Here is a 16879-nt window from a genome sequence, read left to right as displayed (position 1 = left end):
CACTTTGGGAGGTAGAGGCAGAGGGAAACAGATCATTTGAGGTCAGGAGTTCAAGACTAATGTGACCAACATGGTGAAACCCCATCTCTACTAAAAATACAAAAAAATTCGCCAGGCGTGGTGGCGGACACCTGTGATACCAGCTACTCAGGAGGATGAGGCAGGAGAATCGCCTGAACCCAGGAGGTGGAGGTTGCAGTGAGCCGAGATCACGCCACTGCACTCCAGCCTGAGTGACAGAGCGAGATTCTGTCTCGAAAAACAAAAAAAAAAAATTAGCTGGCCGTGGTGGCATGTGCCTGTAGTCCCAGCTACTCAGGAGGCTGAGGCAGGACAATTGCTTCAACATGGAAGGTGGAGGTTACAGTGAGCCAAGATTGCACCACTGCACTCCAACCTGGGCTACCGAGTGAGACACCATCTCAAAAAAAAAAAAAAAAAAAAATTAGTCTCCATCTCTCTCAGTTCGTATTCATTGATGTTTATCCCTTTGAATTTCCAGACTTTCCTCATCTTATGACCTAAAACAAACAAAGCCAAAACTATCCAGAGAGAAATCATGTATCAAATCTCCTCATTTACCAATAGCTTAGTGTGAATAAGCTAAGGGTAAGATCCTTTACTAGGCAAGAAGTAGCTAAATGACATTCCTAGAAAAAAGAGAGAAGTAAGTTGCCTTTTATAATATGGCTCAGTTCACACAAAAGCAGAAAGGAACAAGGAGCCTGCATAAATAGAGTTCTTGGGGATGGGGGTGGGTGTCTAGCAGGTACAGGAGGGAGGAGGGAGGAAGGAGGAGGCCAGGAAGCAGAGATCTATCTGCCCAGTAAGGAGGAGCACAGGCAGGGAGAGCAGAAAGCCAGGAACAACACATGCCTTCTTCACAGTCTACCTCCTGCCAGGCTTGGAAAGATCAGTAAGACAGGCCCGGTTCCTTTAAGTGATGTCATAAGTAGTTTTCTCTGTCTGCAGTTGTGAAATAATGCATTGTTACAATTAGTTTGTAACATAACCATGTTATGTTATGTTTGACCTAGACTACGTGTAGGATAGAGACATGCCACAAAATTGTAGAGTATCACCATCCCCTATGAGGTTAACATATTTTGCTTAGCTTCTCTTGAAAGGGCCAAGGCTATATAATTCAAAGGAATTAAATACAGCAACAGGTAAATTGAGTCTTCACATAAAAAGAGAGAGAAAAATAAAATGAGCATGATATTGTAAGAACAACAAAACCTCAAATCACTCAGATATATTTCAAATTCTAAAACATACTCAGAAATTCTGATTGGCATGTCTGTAAATTTCTCCCATGTCACATTAGAAAAAAAAAAATACCATTCAAGAGGAAAGTGATGGTGGTTAAGAGTGAAGATTTCAGCAAAACATAAAGCACAGGACCTGTAACCACCAACTTTGGAGACTGCAGAAAACTCATTTGCACACGGGACCTAAGAATATTTCAGGAAAACAGTGTTGATGTAGTTGAAGAGCCACTAGAAAACAGCTGCTACTCTTTTTGGATAAAGCTCCTTGCTACAGCCATTCAGGATGTTGCCATCACCAGGCTGTATTACCACAACATGCTTGAAAAGCATCTGGCAGACTCGGCTGGGCTGGGACCAGCTGGGACCTGTTGCTAGGAGCAAAACAAACAGGCCCACTGGTTACTGTCTGTTCAGTTTCAGGTGCGACTGGAGGTGCCACTGACAATCTCTCTGAGGCCTAGAGTGCTGAGATACTGTTCTTGTTACTCCTCCGTTTCCTCTTCTGTTACCTATCAATCCCTGTCACCTGCTTCCCGTTCACCCAACCTTCACGCAGGAGCTATTCAATTCCCTGGAGAATTACCAGTTTCATACTTTAATGTTGCCCAATAGAAATGTCATATGGCCAAATATATCACTGAAATTTTCCAGCAGCCACATTAAAAAGGTAAACAGCAACAGGTGAAATTAATTGTAACAATGCATTTGTTTAACCCAGCATATCCAAAACATGGTCATTGCAACATGTCATCAATTTAAAATTTACTAATGAAGATGTGTTATATTCTTTATTTCATCTTAAGCCTTTGATATCTGGTGTGTATTTCACATTTACAGCACATATCAGTTCAGACCAGCCACATTTCAAGGGCTCAAAAGCCACAGGTGGCTAGCAGCTACCACAATGAACAGACAGATCTGGAGCTTGGAGAAAGGGTCCTCCATGAGCACCTGGACTTTGGAAGTAGACTGTGTCCAGGTTCACGCTGAAACTGTTCAACAGGTTACCTAAAAAGCAATGCAATTTTCTTAAATGGGGACTTTCAAGAATTTGCAGTTAGATTGCCATTCATTTCCCATGTAAGAAACGTATCCATTTTGGGCTGGGCATGGTGGCGCACGCCTGTAATCCCAGCACTTTGGGAGGCCAAGGCGGGCAGATCACCTGAGGTCAGGAGTTTGATACAAGCCTAGCCAACATGGTGAAACCTCGTCTCTACTAAAAATACAAAAAAATTAGCTGAGCATGGTGGCGGGCGCCTGTAGTCCTAGCTACTGAGGAGGCTGAGGCAGGAAAATTGCTTGAAACCAGGAGGTGGAGGTTGCAGTGAGCTGAGATAATGCCACTGCACTCCAGCCTGGGTGACAGGGTGAGACTCCGTTTCAAAACACAAAACAGAACAAAAACAAAAACAAAACAAAACAAAAACCAGGGCTTTGAGAAATGTATCATTTTGTTTATGGCAATGTACTGGGGCAAAGGGACCGGAATGTATCAGGATGCTCCCTCTCTCTAGACAGAATGATTGATACAGAAAAGGAAAATGGCAGAGTTTGCAAATCTACATCTTCTGCTTTCTTCATACAAATATAATACTATAATCCAGAGGTGAGGTAGAATGATTCCTAAAACCAATCATTGCTTTAGAGGTTCCATTTGTAAATAGAAACTCCATTTCTAGGTAGAACTGCCCAATAATTCTGAGTAGAATTACTCGGTGCCACATACAAGGAGGATGCTCTAGAGCCAGCCTCCTTTCTCAGGCAGTTTTTACTGCTGGTCTGTTCTGCCCAAACAGAGAGATGGAAGAGATGGCTTTCCCAAGCCTCACACAATCCTATGATGCCATGATTTATCAGATATAAAATAAACAAGGTAATGTTTCCCTCAAATAATGGGTGTGAGATGAACGCAATTCAAGTCAAATTGCTTTCATTTTTGGAAGGCAGAGAAAGCAAGGAGATGAATGTTGATGCAGTTGAATATTTATATCTCTTAAACTTGCTTTTAAAATCCATTCTGCCCTTTCTCTTCTCTCTCCTTTATCTATGCAATCACTTGCTAATTCCTGTGAATTGAACTTTGAAATGTTTGATACATAGAACTGTCATATCCATTATCTTTTCATCTCTTTTTCGCTTAGGCCTTATTACCTCGGCCCAAACTGTTACATCTGTCTGCTGCCTGGCAGCTTCACCTCTGGACTCCTAAGACTTGAAACTATCTTACAGAACATTTCCAAGTGAATATTCCCAAATGAGCTGCTATGTGGGTCCTCTTTTGAACTCCTTCCACAGTTCCCTGTCGCTCAATACACTAAAGATTCCAAGTCCCCAAGATGTAGTCTCAAATTGCTTTGTCAGTTTTACGCCTGTGTCCAATCTTGACCTTACCATGCTCTTTTTGAACTAGAAACGATAAATTATCCTGTAAGACTTCTTACTTCTGGGACTCTGTTTCATGTACGACTGCTTACCAACTCTCTCAAAAATATCTGGTGTAATCTGACCCATCCTTCAATTCTCTTTGCAAATGCCACCTCATCAATGAAGTCCTTACAGATTCCTCCAAATAGCGTGTTTATTATCCTTATTCCTTTGAAGCCATTTACTAGTCAGAACTTCTCTTCCAGCCCCTATACATATATCCTAATTGCTGCTACTGGAATATAAATTCTTTGAAGGCAGAAATTGTGTCTTTTCACATCAGAATCATTTCCACATTGCTGCTGTACAATAACTTGACTTACATTTAATCATTGTACATAAATCACAAAGTAAATTAGTATCTCTTATCTGAATGCAGTTATGTGAGCCCTGACTTTGATGTCCAGGAATTTAGGAACTCTATTTTTATCATAAGAATAAAAACTTTTCTAAAATATCCCTCAAGGAAGATCAAAGGCAAATGAGGGTCTAAATGTCCTTTCCTTTGATGGAGGACTCGAATACTGATAGTATTCAAGACCTTCATCCTAGAATAACCGAGGTCTCCGGGTACATTTTTCATTCTGTCTAACCTGGCAAGCATCTAGATAAAAATCAGGAGTCTAGAACAAATGCAAACTCTATTGGTTAAAATTCAGATCCTCTGGCAGAGGCCAGATGGGAATGTAGCTGGTTCATTACATGTCCCTACTCGGCTTGTGAAGCAAACAGCCCAGGGTGGACCAAAATCTAGCTGTTTTACCACTACAAAAGAAATAGATTTCTGATTACACAAGTCCTTGGTGTCCACATTCTTCCCCTTCTCAAGTCAAAGTGAATTATGTGTTTTAAGTTAGCACATTAATTTCCCAATGGTAAAAGAAAGTTCAATAAAGCTAGACTACTATGCCACTTGGAACTGCCATGATTACAATATCAAAATATCTAGAGCACTCATGTTCCACCTATCAAAACAACAGCAAGAAAACATTTGCCACCTTTATTAGCTTGTCACACTCCTGCCCCCACTACTACAGCAAATGATACTCTAACATGCTCTCTAGTGTGTGTATGTGTGTCTACGTATTAATATATAAGTATATATACACACACATATATATCTTACCGCAAATTAAAATCTGGCAAATGTAGGCTTGAAATCAACAAGCCAACACAGTTAAGCAAACAGACATTTCTCCAGAATGCTGCCTGAAATGTAACCAAGACCTCTTCACATCACTGGCCAGCCAACAGCCAGCCCGCAGCTAGGAGTCTGAAGTCATTTCCCTGCCGGGAGAAAAGTTGAGCGACTCCTCATCGCTGAGACCTGGAGGTGTCTGTAACCCAAACTGTACCTGCTGAAGCCTTACGTAAAAACGTAAAAACCACCTTGTCATTGCCCAGCGCCTACAACTGACATCTCCAATTTCACAACAACCTGCAGCGAAGCTGACTTTTTCCAGAAACCGCAAACACTCAACGGAGAGAAAGGGGATCCTGGAGATCCCTGAAATGGCTAACATTTCAGGGGAGACGGAAAAATAAAAACTTTCTTGTCCCCAGCTCACTCGCTTCTTAAGGGAAAGGCATGAGGTGGGACAGGCAAACCTTGGCAAGTGCCCGAGGGGACTGGAGAGCTGTCAGCCCCAGGTGCGCAGCGTGGTCCGGGCAGCTCTGGGGGGATCCGGCAGGGCACCCCCATATTCGCTCCCCTCCTGCCCACCTGCACCCCATCATCCTCACACCCACGCCCACCCCGGCTCGGAGCGTGGCCAGGAGAGTCGGCATCGTAGAAAGCGCTGCGGGAAGCGGGCCCCCTCCCGCCCACCCGGACTCACGATCTTCAGCAGGTCCAGTCCACTCCCCTGATTCATGTCTCTCCATGTGCCTCTCCCGGGAAGGGGCGAGGAGGGCCAGCTGGAGCAACCCGGGAGAAGTCTGGGAGGACTGGCAGGTCTCCCCCGCCCTTCCCCACTGGCTTTTCGGAAGCAGAGAAAAATGGAAGCCGAGGCAGAGCCAGGAAAAGGCGCAAAGGGGCAGGGTCCCCGGCGCCAGGAGAGGAGCAGAGGGTGGGCAGGCGACGAGGGGAGGAGGTGCGAGGCTAGAGATCCCTGCAGTGGAGGCGCCGGGAGAACCCGAGGTCGGTGCCCTGCCCGGCGGCTCACAAAGGAAGGAGAAGGCGCCGCGCTCTCGCTACCTGTGCGGCGGCTCCGAGCGCCCCCGCGGGAGCCACGTTCTCTAGCAGTTCCATCTGGATCTCCTGCGCCACCGCCGCCGCCGCTGTGGGAGGCGACTTGGACATGTCCCTTTGGACCATTGGCGAAAAGTCGGCTCGGAGCGAAGCAGCCAGCCCCCGGCGGCGGGTCCCCTCCTCCTCGCCCCCGCCTCCCCGCGCTCTGATCGGCTCTGGGGGCCGCCCAGGGCTCAGGCCCGGCCGTTCTCGGCGCAGCGCCCCGCAGCGCCCCGGGACTCGGCGCCCTGCTGCCAGGCGCTCAGTGCGCGGGACGGGGCCGGGGCATCGGGCGAAGCGAGCCGCTCGGGAGGCGGGACGCGGGGGCGCGGCTGCGGTGCCTGGGAGAGGGGAGCCCTCAGCGGGGCAGCCGGGGCCGGGAGAGCGGGCGCAGCGCGGCGGGGATCGGAGCCGCGGGCGCCGGGAAAGGTCCTCGCCAGGAGGGGAGGGAACTCCGGGAGCGCGAGCCAGGGGGAGGCGCGTCGGAAAGCGAGAGTGACAAGCAGCCTACAAGCCGAAAAGTTCCTCGCGGGAGGCGCGCGCCGCGTGGGCTCCGACTCAGCCGCTGCGCGTCGCCGTGGCACACAGGCTGAAAAGTTTGCGAAGCCACAGAAGCCAGGCCCGGCGCTCAGGGGGCCTTGATCCTGTTCCCATGGCCCCAGACCACCCCTCAGGAACCCTTAGAGCAGATCTCTTAACTTTGGAGGGGAAGGACGACGGAGGCTGGGTTCCTACACTGAAAGTTTTAAATTTGTAAAGCCTGCTGGCAGCCCGGGAGAGCAAATGTCTGCAAAGAACATCTTCTGGGCAGCTGAAAGCCCTTGCTAATGTCAGTAATAAGGATCCAGAGAAAGAAATGGCATTGATAAAGATCATCAGGTGATCCCACCTGAATCTGCAGCTGGCCTCGTCAACTAGGTGGGAATCCACCCAACCTGAGACCGAATGTTTTGCTTTATGACTGCTGTCTTCATCTTTGCCAAATTAAATTAGCACTTCTTTCCAAACATAATTGAAGTTTGTTGTTGTTGTTGCTTGTTGTTGTTTTAGACGGAGTCTCACTCTGTCGCCCAGGCTGGAGTGCAATGGCGCGATCTCAGCTCACTGCAACCTCCGCCTCCTGGGTTCAAGCGATTCTCTAGCCTCAGCCTCACGAATAGCTGGGATTACAGCCACAGGCCACCAAGCCCAGATAATTTTTGTGTTTTTAGTGCAGACGGGGTTTCACCATGTTGCCCGGGCTGGTCTTGAACTCCTGACCTCAAGTAATCCACCGGCCTCGGCCTCCCAAAGTGCTGGGATCACAGGGGTGGGACACCACGCCAGGCCAGGGTTGAGGTTTTTCTATAGGGGTGAAAAGTCTTAGTGTCACATTTTTGACAAAACAAGCACTTCCTTAAGATCCAGAATTCTTGATAACAGGATAGTGACTATGGTGAGGGTGTTTCACTTACAACATTCCGTTCAGATAGTCCCAAGGAGCCACATTTTTACATGATTGAGTGCAACTTATTTCAACAAATTTTACTACAGTGGAAACTTCTGTAATGAGTTTTCCAGGCATTTTTTTTTTTTTTTTTTTGAGACAGAATTTCACTCTTGTCACCCAGGCAGGAATACAGTGGCACGATCTTGGCTCACTGCAACCTTCGCCTCCTGGGTTCAATCCATTCTCCTGCCTCAGCCTCCCGAGTAGCTGGGATTACAGGTGCACGCCACCACAGCCGGCTAATTTTTTTGTATTTTTAGTAGAGATGGGGTTTCACCACGTTGCCCAGGCTGGTCTCGAACTCCTGACCTCAGGTGATCTGCCCGCCTCTGCCTCCCAAAGTGCTGGGATTACAGATTTGAGCCACTGCATCCAGCCTAATTTTTGTATTTTTTAGTAGAGACAGGGTTTCGCCATGTTGGCCAGGCTGGTCGCAAACTCCTGACCTCATGATCCGCCCACCTTGGCCTCCCAAAGTGCTGGGATTACAGGTGTGAGCCACCGTGCCCATCCAGCTCCAGAAACCTATTTATATGTTATTTTGTAACAACAAACTGAAAGTTTGGTATATTGAAATACACATGCAAAAATTTACTATAATAGGCTTCAACTGCCTTCTATAGTTTACTATGATATATTAAATTACATGAGATACAGTACTTTTCTCCTCAAAGATAAGCATAGACATTTTAAACCTATCATCTCCACCATAGCACTGATTTGCGCCAGGCTTAAAGAATGGGTCTTGATACAGTTAAAGATTTAGCCATAAAGCATCATTGATTTTCCTAAACTTTGGTATTAAAAATGCCACTTTTATGGGCTACGGACACAAATAGAAAATTCTCAAAAGAAGATATACAAATGGCCAACAAACATATGAGAAAATGCTCAACATCAATAATGATCAGGGAAATGCAACTCAAAACCACAAAGTGATACCACCTTACCCCTGTAAGAATGACCATAATCAAAGAATCAAAAAACAGATGTTGGCATGGATGCAGTGATCAGGGAACACTTCTGCACTGCTGGTGGGAATGTAAACTAGTACAGCCACTATGGAAAACAGTGTGGAGATTCCTTAAAGGACTAAAAGTAGAACTACCATTTGATGTAGCAATGCCACTACTGGGTATCTACCCAGAGGAAAAGAAGTCATGATTCAAAAAATATACTTGCACATGCATGTTTACAGCAGCACAATTCACAGTAGCAAAATTGTGGAACCAACCCAAATGCCCATCAATCAACGAGGTGATAAAGAAACTCTGATATATATGATGATGGGATACTACTCAGCCATGAAAAGAAATAAATTAACAGCATTTGCAATGACCTGGATGAGATTAGAGACTATTATTCTAAGTGAAGTAACTCAGGAATGGAAAATCGAACATCATATGTTCTCACTGACATGTGGGAGCTAAGCTATGAGGATGCAAAGGCATAAGAATGATACAATGGACTTTGGTGACTTGGGGGGAAGTGTGGGAGGGGGCACGGGATAAAAGACAACAAATATGGTGCAAGGTATACTGCTAGGTTGATGGGTGTACCAGGTTCTCACAAATCTCCACTAAAGAACTTACTCATGTAACCGAATACCACCTGTACCCCAATAACTTATGGAAAAATAAAATTAAAAAAATTAAAATGCCACTTTTATTTAAATTTTGCTGAATGTTAAACAGCAGCACTTAAATATTGGTTTGTAATAATTTCTAAAATGGGAACATTTTGAACAGCAACAATCAGCCATGCTTTTATATGTATGCCTGTATGTATGTGTGTGTGAAAATGGAAAAGAAATTGTGTTTAAAGTTTTCGACTTATAGTCTACTTTTGCCCCATGCTCTGTTGATAATATCACTGTTTTAGGCCTACTCATTTAATCAAACTGTGAAGTTTTCTTGAGCATGTGTTTAAATCTTAGGGAAAACATTAAATCCATTTCAGACTGTAAACTCTGTGTGGACAGGAACCACACTTATTCTCTAGGACACATTCAGAATCTGGCAAGTTGCCCTCTGAGTTCTTTCAATAGTCATCCAATAAAGTATGAATCAAGCTTCTATTTTGTGCCACCTGATGAGCACAGCCAACAAAGACCAGGTTACCAGCTCCATGGGGCTTACAGTCTTGCTAGTTAGCACTTAAAAGCCAATTAATAAATGAAGGAAAGAAGGGAGGGAGGGAGGGAGGAAGGAAGGAAGGAAGGAAGGAAGGAAGGAAGGAAGGAAGGAAGGAGAAAACAAAAGAAGAAACATTATTTAAAAAAAAACACCAGGTTTGGTGAAACTGAGTGTTTTCTCATGATGTCTGTCCAGTTTCTTATAGCATGCTTATTTGTGCATTCGCTTTCAATTAGGACCATTTGGGAAGTAGAATTTCATCTTTCATCAGATGTTTAAAGAGACCGCAAAAAAATCAAAACCTTGAAAATAATTTTAATAACGCTTATAACCAGAGGGCAAGTAAAGTTTGAATTAAATGTTCAAATGTAATACAATATATTCATTTCATATAATTCATAATATGAACTCCCTGTTTTTTTATGTTTCTCCCTACCACTAGATAGGGTTCCTTGAGGGCAGTGATGGCGTCTTTTTCATCTTAGTATCCCCAGCACCACCCAGCATGGTGTCTGCCACTTAGTTAGAACGTGAAAACATTTGTTGTCTAAATGAATGCATGAATGTTGAATGACTTCTTGCGTCTTAAAACACAGCATACAACTTTGCCAGTTTTAACGTACAATGACAACATTTACCTAAGCCTGACTCCCATGAGAACATTATACTACTTCTTCCTTTATAACTCAAACTAGTTTAATTAGCATGCATTGAACACTAATCCAATACAATGTACCCATTCAGACTCTTGTCTGGCTTGTAAAAGATTTCAAACACAGAGTAACAAAATGTTACTCCTGAAAAAGGGAGCAAAATCAGAATAAACAGAATAAAAAGACTTGGAAAATGTATAGATGCCTTCAATCACGGTTGATCTTGTTTTTAAGATTCTTTGACTTGCGCAATATTTAAAAGCCACAGAGGAAAGCAAAAATTTGGTAAGTAAAGCCTAATTCTTTTCATGTTAAAAGTTAAGCAGATGCAAGAGACTCCAGCAATAATGGATGTGCCATCGACGCATTCAAATGCAGATGACTAATTTATTCAAGCTGTATGTTAGCTTCCTTGTGCTCATTAGTTGTTGTAATGGACAGACATATTCTGGGAATTACTAATGCTCTGAAATAGGAACAGGGGCTGGTAAGAGACACTGGCTAATGAAGCCAGACGTTTTAAAAGATTATTTTTTCTGTAAGTGGAAGAAACAGTGATTACAAGTGCTTTATTCTTCCTCTCCTGCTTGCAGATTTGTGACTACATTTAACACCTTAAAGAAAGAGCTTTTTAGGACAGATACACATGTATGATTTCTCATTTTACTCAGTAAATCATTTTACACCTCACTGAAAGTCCTGAATTTCCACCACTATTAATAGCATTTTCATAAGGATATATAGCTGTATTGGCCACTGGCCTGACTTGGTATGATGCATTCCATGAAGTTACATGTTTGCTTTTTGTAAACCTATGCCCTGAATTACAGACTGCTATTTAAAAGCATATAAAGATGCAAGCAAATCCATTATAATGGGATTGAATGTATCTGTATGGATAGTAAAAGTTTAAAACTGAAATGTACAAGTGTTCAGAGAAAGCCTAATTTCACTTCCAGAGAAAAGACTTCACAGAAATGAGATTCCATGAGTTCCTAAAACTACCCAGGAGAGCACTCTGGAATATTCAATAGTATATAGCACTTTTTAGTTTATAAAGCACATTCATTTATGATCTATCTGATTTATTTCTCATCTAAACCTTGTTATAACAACTGATACTTTTGTTTACATATGAGGCGCCAGGCTTCCTATTAAGAACTTAAATGCATTGTCTTTGCCTGTGAGGTAGATATCACTATTCCTCTATGTTAATTAGGGTAAGTCAAACTGCTATAACATACAGTCTGAATATTCAATGGATTTGAAAGAAATGTATACTGGAGTAGAAGTTCCCCATTAGAAATAGCTCTGCATCATGCTGACATTTAGGAACCGAGGCTTGAGTAACTAGCTACCATCTTCACAATGCAACCTCCCACGTCACCATGTTACTCCCACCGGGGTTACTTACAAGGAGGAAAAAGGACATTGGTGCCTTAGGTGATGGTAGATGGTGGTGCATGCAAGTTTGTATTGTCCAAACTTGGAAGTGGTATACATCTCTTCCACTTATATTTTATTGGCTAGAACTCTGTCACATGACTAAAGCTGCAAGACGGGCTGAGAAACACAGTCCAATTGTATGCCTTAGGAAGAAAGAGTGGACTTTGAAGAGCTAGCAAGGACTGACTTAACCAAGCCTAAATAGCTAAAGGTGACAGAGGCGGGACTTAACCGCACGTCTTTTAAACACCAACTCTCAGGCTCCTTTTCCATGCATCACAGTTGTCTGTCTGGTAGACCTCGAAGAACCCTGCCACTCAGGTTAAGACTGGGTTGACGGTTGGAGAAACAGATTTACATAGTTCTTTTGTGTGCGTGCTGGAATGTGATGACTACAGCAATATACTTACTAGAAGTGGGGCCGAGCTCACAAACAGCTATGAATAGCAGAAATGTTATTAATTTATGGCATCTTGTGTGTATATGTGTACGCCTGCTATGACCCTGGCAATAGGGACAACAGTATTGAACAAGGTGTGGTTCCTGTATTACAAAGCACAGTAGATCAGGGAAGACACAGATAAAGTATGATGAATACGAGTGCAAAATACTATGGGAGAAATTTTAAAGATAAGGAAAAATGTTCTAGACAAAAAGAAAATTCAGAGACGGAAGGCAAGAAATTCAGTACAGCTTGAAAGTACAGTAGGAAGGTGAAAAGATGGGTAGGCATTGATTATGAAGAATATACAGCTTTTCATATCTTTTGCTGTCATGTGGATCCAACCTATCTTTTCATAGGAATGTTCCATTCATGGGCATTGCCTTTGACCTCCCATGCCTTTTCTTGTCAAGCGATCTTAATTTTTTCCTATGAAAGATACACATACTCACACCCATACCCACGTGTGTGTTCGTATCATACGCATGTACACTAATGAAACCCACTTAGTAAGAAACACATTTGAATTTACATATTCAAAGTAGTCAGCTTATCTGCAGCTGATATTCCTAGTTGCTCATACTCCCTTGTTACAAAAACTGTTTTTAGCTGAAACGGTTGTAAGGTGGAATGTCAGACAAACGCAAATTACATTACATTGCTTAGAGTGTTTTTCATGTTTCTATATCCTTACCAAGTGAAATTCTGGATTTGTATTTTACCTTTCAGTTTTCTCATTTTTGCTTCATGTATTTTGAAGCTCTGTTATAAAGATTATTATAGCTTTGCCATGAATTGACCCCTTAATGATTATGTAGTGTCTGTCTTTATTTCTGGCAATATTCCTTATTCTAAAGTCTACTCGGATTTTAATGAAGCCATTTCAGGTTTCTTTTGATTACTACTTCCATGGTATACTTCTCTATCCTTTTACTTCCATGCTATATATCTTTATGTTTATAGTGGGTTTCTTGTAGACAGCATATAGTTGTATTAGCCTTATTATCTAATATGACAGCATGAGTTTTAAGGGGATTGTTAAATACATTTACATGTAACCTAATTATTGATATAATTTGATTTAAATATAATATTATAATAATATTTGTTTTCCTTATTCTCATCTGTTCTTTGGTCTTTTTTTTCCTCTGTTTTCCTGTACTGCTTTGTAGTACTGAGTATGTTTTAGAATTATTTTTAAAAATCTCCATGACTGGGTTATTAGTTACACTTTATTTAAACATTTTTCATGGTGGCTTTAGGGTTTACCATATATATTTTTAACTTACTACAGCCTACATTCAAACAATATACTTCTTCTCCAATTGCATAAGAATCTTTAAATAATATACTGCCAAGGATGATGGTTTCCAGCTTCATCCATGTCCCTGCAAAGGACATGAACTCATTCTTTTTTATGGCTGTATAGTATTCCATGGTGTTTATGTGCCACGTTTTCATTATCCAGTCTATCATTGATAGGCATTTGGGTTGGTTCCAAGTCTTTGCCTTTTTAAACAGTGCTGCAATAAACATACGTGTGCATGTGGAGAAACCAAACACTGCATGTTCTCACTCATAAGTGGGAGTTGAACAGCGAGAACACATGGACACAGGGAAGGGAACATCACACACCGGGACCTGTTGGGGGATGGAGGGTAAGGAGAGGGAGAGCATTAGGACAAATACTTAATGTATGTGGGGCTTAAAACCTAGATGATGGGTTAACAGGTGCAGCAAACCACCATGGCACATGTATACCTATGTAACAAACCTGCACGCTCAGCACATGTATCCCAGAACTTAAGTAAAATAAAATTAAAAAATAGTCTACTTACAAATGTTCCTTCCACTGTGTTATTCTGTGTTTTATTTCTGCGTATGTTATAAACCTGACAATGCTTTATTACATGTTTTGCTTGAACCAGTGATGCTTTAATGATGTTAAACATTTTTAAAATAGTGTATATTTACCATGATTTTTACCACGTCTAGTATCATATTCTTTTATTTTGGTGTGTACATCCAAATTTCCAGCTAGTATCATATTCCTTCTGCCTAAAGAATTTGCTTTAACATTTCTTATAGTACACATCTGCTGGAAATGAATTCTCTCAGCTTTTGTTTGAAAAAATATTTATTTCACCTACTTTTTAAAACATGTATCTTCTCTGGTTATAGAATTCTGCAATGACAGTGTTTTTGTTTTTGTTTTGTTTTCCTTTTAGTATTTTAAAGATATTGCTGTGGCTTGTGTAGGTTTTCACGTGATATCTGCTATAATTCTTACTTTTGTTCCTCTGTAAGTGAAGCTTCTTCTTTATCTGAGATTTTTAGCAGTTTGACTATAACGTGTCTAGGTGTTTTTGTTGTCTTTAACTTTCATTTATATTATATTATTTTATTTTCTATATTACCTGGCCATTTCTAATTTATTAATGTCTACTCCTATCTTTATTGTTACTGTTAGTCTACACACTTTGGGTTTAAGTTGCTTTCTTCTAGGTACTTAAAGTATAAATTTAGATAATTGATTTTTAAACCATTTAACTTGTGAGCTATAGTTTGCCAACACTTAATATAAAGGAATAAAAAATAGAATGTATACCATTTAAATGTTTCATTAGAAAAGAAAAATAAGGTAAACATTAAGATACAAAAATTATGTTGCATATGATTTTAAACCAGATATTTTTCTTCTAAAATTTAAACATTTTCTATTAAAATGTAAATGTCAATACAAGTTGTAACTAATGAATATGAACTGTTTTAAGTAAAATTATAAATAAAACCAAAGTGTTACCTACTATTTTGAAGTTTAAATATTAAGATTTTTAATTAAAACTATTTGCAATTGTCTTACTTGCAATCTAATTACAAAGGCAAAGAATCCATATCACATTTCACACATTACATCTATGTATACAAATTTGGTAACATTTAGAAATTTGGTAACATTTAGTAATTTAGTAACATTAAGCAACTCATTTAAAGCATAAAACCAGTCACTCAACGTTACTAAATTTCCACAGTCACCATGTGCGACTATTTCAAACAAGAAGCTAATTGGTTAGTGTCTTCAGAATCAAGAAATTAACTAGCACACACGTAGTAAATTACCCAGGCCGTAAATGGCTAATGCTTCTGGATAAAGTTGTACCTTTGAAGTTCTTCTCGTGGATGGGCAGTTACTTACATTTCACCCTTTCATGTTTGGTCACTCTGTCGTCTGTCCGCTCACTAGGCTAACTCCAACTTCTGCCCCAGAAGTTTACCCTCACCATCCTAATGTGGGATGAAGGCCTTCCCTTACTATTTGTATTTTGCATTTCCCACACTGAGTAAAAATGGCCATTTGTCTGTCTTCAGCACTATACTGGCTGGGCAGGGAACTTCTTTCATTTTTATCCTCCTTGATACCTAGTACCACACTAACAATTCATTAAACTAAAGCAAACATATGCAAACATAGTTATTTAGAAGCAACTAGAGAGCATTTCTGTCTTCTTAATCTGTTACCAAAGCATAAATGAAGTCAATGTTTGATTTTAATTCTTTGCCTGCTTTTCTGCACATAATATATGACCTAATCTCTAGAGTACTGAGCTATAAACACCGGAGAAGGACAATATGCAGCCCACTCGCACTTGGTAAATAAGATGTTCAAACTCTCATAGCCCTACAGGGGAATAAATTGTTTGGACTTAGGATATGGTGATGTAAAGATGAAAAAGTCCCAAGATAAAATTCCATTTTCCTCCCAAACACAGATGCCTCTTTGTTAACTTGTCTTTCACCACCCGCTCACTGCTGCTTCAGTATCTCTCTCGTCCCTCCACTGTCCCCTGGATCATTCTTTGCCTCCACAGCCAGAAATAAACAAAACATCCCAGGAAGCACAGCCAGCTGTCTTTTCCTCGGGTTCTAAGTCCGTAAACAGGTATTCCCTGGACCTCTGCATTTAGTGGTCAATTTTCACATGGCTAGCTTGTCGTATTATCAAATTGAGGAAGGTCTTTTAAGTAGATCACCACCACAGTGGTATACTAGAACCGCTTAAGTTTTGTCTACCTTGTTTAGACTGCACATAAAAAAGAAGCTCTAGGCCGGACATGGTGGCTCACGCCTGTAATCCCAGCACTGTGGGAGGCTGAGGCAGGCAGATCACTTGAGGTCAGGGGTTCAAGAGCAGCCTGGCCAACATGCTGAAACCCCATCTCTACTAAAAATACAAAAATTAGCCAGGTGTGGTGGTGCGTGCCTGTAATCCCAGCTACTCAGGTGGCTGAGGCAGGAGAATCTCTTGAACCCAGGAGGCGGAGGCTGCAGTGAGCCAAGATTGTGCCACTGCACTCCAGTCTGGGTGACAGAGACTCTGTCTCCAAAAAAAAAAGAAGCTCGATACCACTAATCATTGGGGAAATGCAAATGAAAACCATAATCAGATACCACTTCACGTCCGTTAGGATGACTGTTTTCAAAATAACAGAATATAACAAGCGTTGGTGAGGATATGGAGAAATTGAGACCCTGTGCACTGCTGTTGGGAATGTAAAATGGCGCAGCCTTTATGGAAAACCATATGGCAGTTTGTCAAATAATTCAGACAGAATTACTGTATGATCCAGCAACTCCACTTCTAGATATATACACAAAATTTATTTAAAAAGCAGGGACCCTAAGAGATATTCATACACCCATGTTCATAGCACCATTATTCACAATAGACAAAATGTGGAAACAACCTATACATTCATCAGTGGATGAATGGATAAACAAAATATGG

At 41.6% G+C, this 16879-nt stretch overlaps 1 protein-coding gene across 7 annotated transcripts in view, besides 1 other annotated feature; it reads right to left on the bottom strand.

Moving 5' to 3' along the window:
• The window catches only part of CACNB2 (calcium voltage-gated channel auxiliary subunit beta 2), a 403134-nt gene extending 396806 nt beyond the window's left edge, over positions 1-6328 (bottom strand). For 4 of the 7 annotated variants that reach the window (NM_201596.3, NM_201593.3, NM_201597.3 and 1 more), the window contains exon 1: positions 5896-6328. In NM_201596.3, the coding sequence (NP_963890.2) occupies positions 5896-6015 (120 nt within the window). In that variant the 5' untranslated portion in view covers positions 6016-6328. Of the gene's footprint in view, positions 1-5536 lie in introns of all 7 variants that reach the window. The other 3 variants (NM_201571.4, NM_001167945.2, NM_201572.4) reach the window with 1 other exon arrangement.
• Positions 9863-10829: an enhancer, noted in NCBI's record as "NANOG hESC enhancer chr10:18424852-18425818 (GRCh37/hg19 assembly coordinates)". NCBI's record gives its function as "activates a minimal SCP1, AML or CMV promoter by ChIP-STARR-seq in naive H9 embryonic stem cells {active_cell/tissue: H9 hESC(naive)}" and the evidence as "EXISTENCE:reporter gene assay evidence [ECO:0000049][PMID:30033119]".

The sequence above is a fragment of the Homo sapiens genome, chromosome 10 (genome assembly GCF_000001405.40).
Source record: "Homo sapiens chromosome 10, GRCh38.p14 Primary Assembly".
Lineage (NCBI taxonomy): Eukaryota > Metazoa > Chordata > Mammalia > Primates > Hominidae > Homo > Homo sapiens.
Note: the sequence above shows the minus strand (reverse complement) of the source record. Positions and strands in the feature narration are given on the sequence as shown.